The 7,976-nt window shown below is 44.5% G+C and overlaps 1 long non-coding RNA gene across 1 annotated transcript; it reads right to left on the bottom strand.

Annotated features, from left to right (window-relative positions):
* Nucleotides 1–3,475: 3,475 nt before the first annotated feature.
* Nucleotides 3,476–6,304, bottom strand: LOC124903971 (uncharacterized). The gene is made up of 2 exons (XR_007065700.1): nucleotides 5,454–6,304; nucleotides 3,476–3,999 (listed from the first exon to the last, which is right to left on the bottom strand). It is a non-coding gene; the product is annotated as an uncharacterized LOC124903971 (long non-coding RNA).

Raw genomic sequence — 7,976 nt, 5'->3', positions numbered from 1 at the left:
GTGAAACTGCCTTTGCAAAAATTATAACAGTGAGAAAATTATGACAATGAAAAAGATCTGATCTAATAACTCCCATATTGCCTTTAACCTCCAAACTGTTCTTGTTCATTCCTGGGCTTGGGCCAAGCTAACTTTGGGAGAAACTTAGTTTATAGTTTAAATCATAATAGCCTTTCCCCAAATTAAACTGCCTTTGTAAAACTAATAAAAGATCATCAAGTTAGGAGGATTAGAGCAGCATGGATTCTGCTAAGATCTAGGTGCAAATAATGACCAGCCATTATTAGAGGTCACAAGATTTGCATCTTCCTCAGTTACTCCTACTGATAACATCACTACTGTAGAACATCTACTATTGTAGAACCTAAGATTGGCCTTTTGAGATGTCTTTTCAGGCTTTCGCGTTTCTGACAACCAGATAGCCTCACCCAGACCCATGACTCTTGACTCAACTGGTCCTGTGGCCCCCACCCAGAAGTAGACTCAACACACAAGGACTGGAGTTTCCACATCCCTATGATCGTATCCCCAACCAATCAGCTGAACCCATTCCTTTGCCTGCCAAACTGTCTTTGAAAAACCCTAGCCTCTGTGTTTTCAGGGAGGCTGATTTGAGTAATAATAAAGCTCTGGTCTCCTAATTAGCTGGTTCTGCGTGTATTAAACCCTTTTTCTATTGCAATTCCCCTGTTGTGATAAATTGGCTCTATCTGGGCAGCAGGCAAAATGAACCCAATGACCTTGTTAAGTGCTGCTTGTTTCTATAAGGCCCTTGCCCTTGCTTTCTCCCACAGGTCCTCACAAAGCCAGATCTTTATTGCCATTCAGTTTCAGGACAAATAGTCACCTCCTTAAAGAGGCCTTTAATGCCACTACTCCCCCTGGCCAGTCACTATCACATCATTGTGTTTTATTTTCTTTATGTCACTATTTGAAATTATCTGCATATATTTGTTTATTGTCTAACTCCCCCACTAGAATGCAAGCACCAGAAGGGAAAGACCTTGTCTATATGGTTTTCCTGTGTATTTCTGTATCTAATACAGTGCCTGACATGTAATAATGCTCTATGAATTTTTTTTCTTTTTTTTTGAGACAGGGCTTCACCATGTTGGTCAGGCTGGTCTTGAACTTCTGGCCTCAAGTGATCCACCTGCCTTGACCTCCCAAAGTGCTGGGATTACAGGTGTGAGCCACCACACCCAGCTGAATTTTTTTGTATTAATCAAAAAATAATGATTAATTTTGTTGTGTTCATTTTCCCTGTTAGATTGAAGCTTCTTGAGGTCAAGGACTAGTCTCCTTCATTTTTTGTATTTCAAGTGCCTAGTACAGTTGCTGCCAATCAGTAGGTGTTCAACAAGCAGTTAAATAAATGAATGAAAGAGAGAAATTTGGGGAAAATATAATGTCAACCTATTCCCTTTATGGGAAATATAATTTGAAGTTGATTCTCTCTCATTTTTTTTTTTTTACTGATATAGGAGAATTTTGTGAGTAGAGTCATATCCCCATGAGTAAAAGATGCATACCTTTCAAAGGGCTTCATGATTTGACTGTAAACCATTTTTTCAACCTCATCTCTTATCTCCTATATACATTTTTTCCCCTGCCATTTACTCTATGCTACTGCCACACCAAATTCTAGAGCAGCCGAATTTTATGAAAGGGATACATTCCTGAAATCTTCACATAAAATTTAAAACTTGCAAAATCCAAGACTGTTTTTCTCATAGCAATAAATGTGAATTTATTGAAGGAAAGATACTATTTTTCCAGCTAAAATGGCTCCACCATGTGGCACTAGCATAAACAGTTTCTAACTCACTTTACCACCACCAGGTTTGAAAGTATGCAATTCCTGACAAATATTAAATATTACAAAGGTTTCACACCACTTCAAATTTTGTGTATATAATGAAGTACTATTAATGGTTTATAATGAATGATTTCAAATTTGCATAACTCAAATGGTCATAAAACTCAAACTTTTTCATTGTTCTTGAATCAGACTCAAGGCCATTCATGCCTCTACCTTTGCATATGTTGTTTCCTCTGCCTAGAATGCTCTGTGAAGTGCTAGCACCTAGAGCAGTGACTGGCAGAAATGTTATATCCAGAGGTGAGAATAATGTGGGTGTAAGCAACAACATTCAAGAACATTGGATCACGTTTCAAAAAAAAAACCCCAAAATAATCTACAACTAATGTTGAATATGCTGAAACATTTAAAACCTGAATCTAAAGTTCTTTGGGCTGAAGGAGAGGCCACAGGTTGGGTTAAGCCCACATGGAGTTTAGGAGTGGCAGGGAAGGTGGATGTCAGAAAGCTGCCAGTTCTCCTGGACACAGATGGGTGCACGCCACATTCTGGAGAAAAGTTATAGTGAAGGGATATAGGCTCCTGTGGGCCCAAAAAGCCCCAGGATCCAATATCTCAAAGTTTTGGCAGGGTCACACCTGCTGGCTTTGCTCATCTCAGGGAGGTGGGAATTACAAGGATAAGAATGGGGATGAGAGTGGAAGGGGAAAAATAATTTTCCCAAACTCCACCCAGGTCATTCTAAATCAGGAGTTGAAAACGCAAATATCCATAGGCAATAAATGTAACACTTTTTCCCCCTCTTTTGATGCAGAAATTACTATCATGGGAAAACAACAATTTTTTTTTCTTTTTCTTTTTTTTTTGAGAGGGTTCGGTTCTGTTGCCCAGGCTGGGGTGCAGTGGCACAATCTCTGCTCACTATAACCTCTGCTTCCCAGGCTCAAACCATTCTCCCACCTCAGCCTCCCAAGTAGCTGGGACTATAGATACACACTACCATGCCTGGCTAATGTTTGTATTTTTGGGAGAGATGGGGTTTTGACACGGGATTTTTCTCGGCTGCTTTGCCAGCCAGAGACCTCTGGCCAGTGATGCCCCTGTCCTGGCCTTGCTTGGCACTGGGCTTGCTGCAGGAGGCATCCAGCCCACTCAGCCCATAGGCTGTGCCTGGTTTGTGCTCCAGCATGGATCCCACAGGCACCACAATTGCATGCTCAGCCCCCAGTGGGAAGGGGTGTGTGGGTGAGCGAGTGCAGGGTCTGGCCAGCAGCTCCAAGTGCTGGCATAGAAGCGGGCTCCATGTGGGGCTTGCAGTTGGACCACACCTGTCGCAAGAGACTCCTGTGGTGGACTCTGGCATCCAGGTGAGGGGAATGTGGTGGTGCCCAAATAGGGAAGCCTGTGACCCTGAAGCCCCAGAGGGGGTGTTACAACATGCTAACAGCTCTTTTAGTCTGGGGTTAACAGTTCTATCAGTCCCACTGCCCTGCTCTAGCCCATGGCTCTGGGTTGGCCCAGCCCTGTCATAGTGTGGGGCAGCTGCCAGGTGCCAATGCAGGGCAGAGGGCTACAGTGTTACTGCCTTTTCATATTTGCATTCAGCAGGGTCCCACTTCCAAGAAGAATGAGACTACACTGACAATCAAAGGGTGAGGAGGGCGGAGAAGAGTTTTATTGAGCAATGAAATATCTCTCAATAGAGAGGGAATGCGAGAATGGTCTGCCACCTGAAGTTGGGTGGTCTCTCTCCCAGTGTGGCTGGGTCCGGGGCTTTTATGGGCTCAGAATGGGGCAGCGTGTGCTGATTGGTTTGTGGGTATGGCAAAAAGGCTGAAACAAAGGCACAACAGTGTCAAAAATCAATTAGGGAAGGGTAGGTATATGTAAATTAGGTGAAGGATGGGGCTCAGTCAGAGGAAACCATGCCAAACAGGAAGAGGGGTTCTCAATCCAGTCCATGGATTCATCCAAGACTTGTAGCTTGGCTTTCAGGCTTTAAACTGTCTTTGGCTTGAAGGTGGGATTTCACCGGGGACCCACCCCTATCTGCCTAGGCATTTGACTGCCTCCTGTCACTATCGGTTTCACCATGTTGCCCAGGCTGGTCTTGAACTCCTGGATTCGAGTGATCTGCCTCCTTGACCTCCCAAAGTGGTAGGCATGAGCCACTGCACCTAGCCAAAACAACAATATTTTAAAGAGAAGGCAGCTACCCAGATTTGGATCTGAAACTTCCCAGTTATAAATATTGTCTCAAAAAAAAAAATTCTTTTGAGACAGCGTCTTGCTCTGTCACCCAGGCTGGAGGGCAGTGGCATGATCATGACTCACTGCAGCCTCAACCGCCCAAACTCAAGCAACCCTCCCATCTCAGACTCCCAAGTAGCTGGGACTAAGGTGCACACTATCACACTGGCTAATTTTTGTATTTTTTATAGACATAGGGTTTTGCCATGTTGCTCAGGCTGATCTCCAACTCCTGAGCATTCTGCCTGCCTCAGCCTTCCAAAGTGCTGGGATTCCAGGCATGAGCCACTGCCCGGCCAGCTCAAAAATTTTAAATTACCATGCAGGCCAAACAAAACGTCTCAAAGCTGAATTTGCTCCAGTAGACTACCAATGTGTGAACTCTGAAGCTGACTATCACATCTAGTGAAATATAAGGAGGCTTCCTGACCAAGGCAAATCTTGGAGTTAGTGGGACAACACTTAAGTATGAATGAGTTTCATAGAATTGGAGAATGTTTGTGTTAGATTCTAGCCTAGACTTCCATTCAACATAAAAACCTGGTCTTTTCTATTGAAATAGAAGTAGTTGCGGCCGGGCACAGTGGCTCATGCCTGTAATCCCAGCACTTTGGGAGGCCGAGCCAGGCGGATCACCTGAGGTCAGGAGTTCGAAACCAGCCTGGTCAACATGGTGAAACCCCGTCTCTACTAAAAATACACAAGTTAGCTGGGTATGGTGGCCAGGTGCCTGTAATCCCAGCTACTTGGGAGGCTGAGGCAGGAGAATTGCTTGAACCTGGGATGCAGAGATTGCAGTGAGCCGAGATCACGCCATTGCACTCCAGCCCGGGGGACAAGAACGAGACTTCATCTCAAAAAAAAAAAAAAAAGAAGTAGTTGACAAACACATGTCAAAGATTGGTGGACAGCAAAGGAGGAGACACAGGGTGGAAAATTTGCCTTGAGACTGGCCTTGTTTGCTTTAACTTGGTAGAGTGGCATGGAAGCAACAGGCAGAAGGCATATCTGCAGTGGCAAATGGTGCTGCCTCACAGGATTTATAAAGATTTTCTTTTCTTTCTTTTTAGAGAGAGCTGAGTACAGCAGTGTGATCATAGCTCACCGCAGCCTCAAACTCCTGGGCTCAAGTGATCCTCCCGTCTCAGTCTCCTGAGTAGCTAGGTCTAAAAGTGTCTGCCACCACATTCAGCTAATTTTTTATAAAACTTTTTCTTTCTTTTTTTTTTTTTTTTTTTGTAGTGGTGGAGTTTCACTATGTTGCCCAGGCTGGTCTTCAACTCCTGGCCTTGAACTCAAGGCAGGAATCCTCCCACCTCAGCTTCCCAAAGTGCTGGGATTACAGGCAATATTTTCTTTTTTAATATTAGAGACTTCATACTAGAATTCTGTTTCTGGTTGCTTTGTCCCACGAGGTGTCACCGGGCTGTACAACATCTCTTCTGGCTGGAATAAGAAGGATAGAACACAGAATTTTCTTCTTGGAGAAATGTCTTCCTGGGTAGGTCATTTGGGGGTAACCCACTGGGAAACCGGTTTTATTCTGTACCTCCTCACCATGCCCATATGGGGGCTGAGTGCATGGGTGTGAATTGCTGGGTGGAAATCTGGTAATAAGGGTGCCACCCTGATGATGAGGACAGAGCAGGAGGCCAGCAAAGAGATGATGATAGAAATCTCTGGGCATGGGGTGGAGAAATGTAATCGCCAGTATGGAAAGGGTGGCAATAGCTGTAAAACTGGTCCCCTCCACCTTCCCCAGTGATTCCATCTCCTCCTGAGCTCTTACTCTTGCAATTGTATCCTCTCTGACACATATTTAATCTCTCATCTGTACTGGTTCCTTCCTCTCATCCTCCAGTAGACACAAATTTACCCTTTCTCCCCAAAGAGCTTCCCTAATATTTACCTCCCTCTCAACTCATTACGATGTGGCTTCTGCCCACCCTTCCCTTCCACTAAAACTGCCCTCTCTAAGGTTGCCTGTAACCCAGTTGCCAAAACCAATCTTACTTGACTTTCTGCAGCTTTTAATTCAATTCACTGTCCTCTCCTTGCCTTCCTGGGATTCCAGGACATAACTCCCCGGGTCTCCTACTTCGCTGACTGATCTTTCTATTTCTGCTGGCTCCTCTGTCTTCACCCATACTTTAAACATTATCATTTTCAGAGCTAATACTACTCCCATATGGCATCCTTATAAGAAGTTGTGAAAGGGGCCAGGCGTGGTGGCTCATGCCTTTAATTCCAGCACTTTGGGAGGCCGAGGTGGGCAGATCACGAGGTCAGGGGTTCAAGACCGGCCTGGCCAACATGGTGAAACCCCGTCTCTCCTAAAAATACAAAAATTAGCCGGGTATGGTGGTGCGTGCCTGTAATCCCAGCTACTCAGGATGCTGAGGCAGGCAAATTGCTTGAACCCAGGAGGTGGAGGTTGCAGTGAGCCGAGATTATGCCACTGCACCCCAGCCTGGGTGACAGAGTGAGACTCATCTCAAAAAAAAAAAAAAAGTAGTGAAAGGTACATCATACTCTGTGCACAGCCTGGGCCAGGGTGCATGGCTTGGCAAGCAGAGCCTGGACTGCATTTTAGTCCCTACTCACCACACTCAGCCTGGTGCCCTTGTGCCATGAACACCCTGTGCAACTGCACATTGCAGCCCAGGGCACTATCTGTGGTCTTCATCTCTTTATTGCTCTATCCTCTTTCCCTCTGTAACCCTGCTGACTTTCATTGTTCCACCTCGAACCTATGTGTCTCATCTAATCTCTAGACATCTTTTCATCTACGTCCTGAACTTCTCTTCCTGGGTGTCCTGTGGGGCATCCTAATTTTGCTATGGCCCAAACTCAGTTCAGATCTGCACACTTGCAAATATGCAAATATGCCTATTTTTCTGTATGCCCTCTCTTGGTTAATGACACCACCTTCCATCTTCTTATTCCGCTGAAAACTTCAAGATTATCAATGCCTCTTCCCTTTCCGCAATGTAAGGCTTTTGTCCTCTCCCAAGTTCACTACTGGAAGAACCTTCTAACCAGTTTCCCTATCTCCAGAGCCCCTCCCCTCCAAATTACTCTCCCCACTGCCACCAGGTTTCTTTTTTTACACAGACTTGAGCATATTTTTCCTTTGTTTCAAAACCCATTTTGTCTTCTAATTAACCATAAGATAAAGTCCAGATGCTCAGGCATTGAACATAAAACCCTTTATATCTTGGCCCAAACCTACAAAACTTTTCCAGTCCTACACCTTGCCTCTGCTCCCAAAACATGCCTTGCTCTTAGCCACATCCGATTATGATGCACCCTTTCTTGAACATGATTTTATTCACTGCGCCTTCGCTGGTGCCTTGAATGCCCTTCTCCTGTTCTTTGACTTGTAAAAATCTCATCCACTCTTCAAGATCATGCTCTCTTGTCACTTCTATTTTCAGGCACCCTTTGGCCCTAATTGACAGTGCTCTCCTCATTGCTTCTACAGTCTACAGCACTATTGGTATGCTACTACAGATAGTCTAAAAGTTGTTTTGCATCTCTTTCCTACTACATTGAGTTTCTTAACGGCAAGATTAAGCTTTGTTCGTCTCTATGTCATCAGCAGTTTGTCCAGTGCCTAGTACATGTTAGATACTGAATAAAAATTTATGACTTGAATTGGGCAGGATGCTTGAACATCATTTTGTGAAAGGACCAGTGATTTCTTTCTGTATAATTTTCAGCCTCTTCTTTTTCAGATATTGAAAGAACCTCAGAATAGGATGGTTGATGGGCCCACTTAAGATAGTTGCTATGTTATAGCCCCAATTTTTAGCCGAGTCTCTCTAGGGACATAGAAACCGTGCTTTCTCAAATGACTGATTGGTGCCTGAGTATGGATTTTTCCAGATATCAGAGTTCCTTA

Source organism: Homo sapiens, chromosome 17 (genome assembly GCF_000001405.40).
Source record: "Homo sapiens chromosome 17, GRCh38.p14 Primary Assembly".
Lineage (NCBI taxonomy): Eukaryota > Metazoa > Chordata > Mammalia > Primates > Hominidae > Homo > Homo sapiens.
The sequence above is the reverse complement of the archived record's forward strand: the minus strand, read 5'-3'. Positions and strand labels throughout refer to the sequence as shown.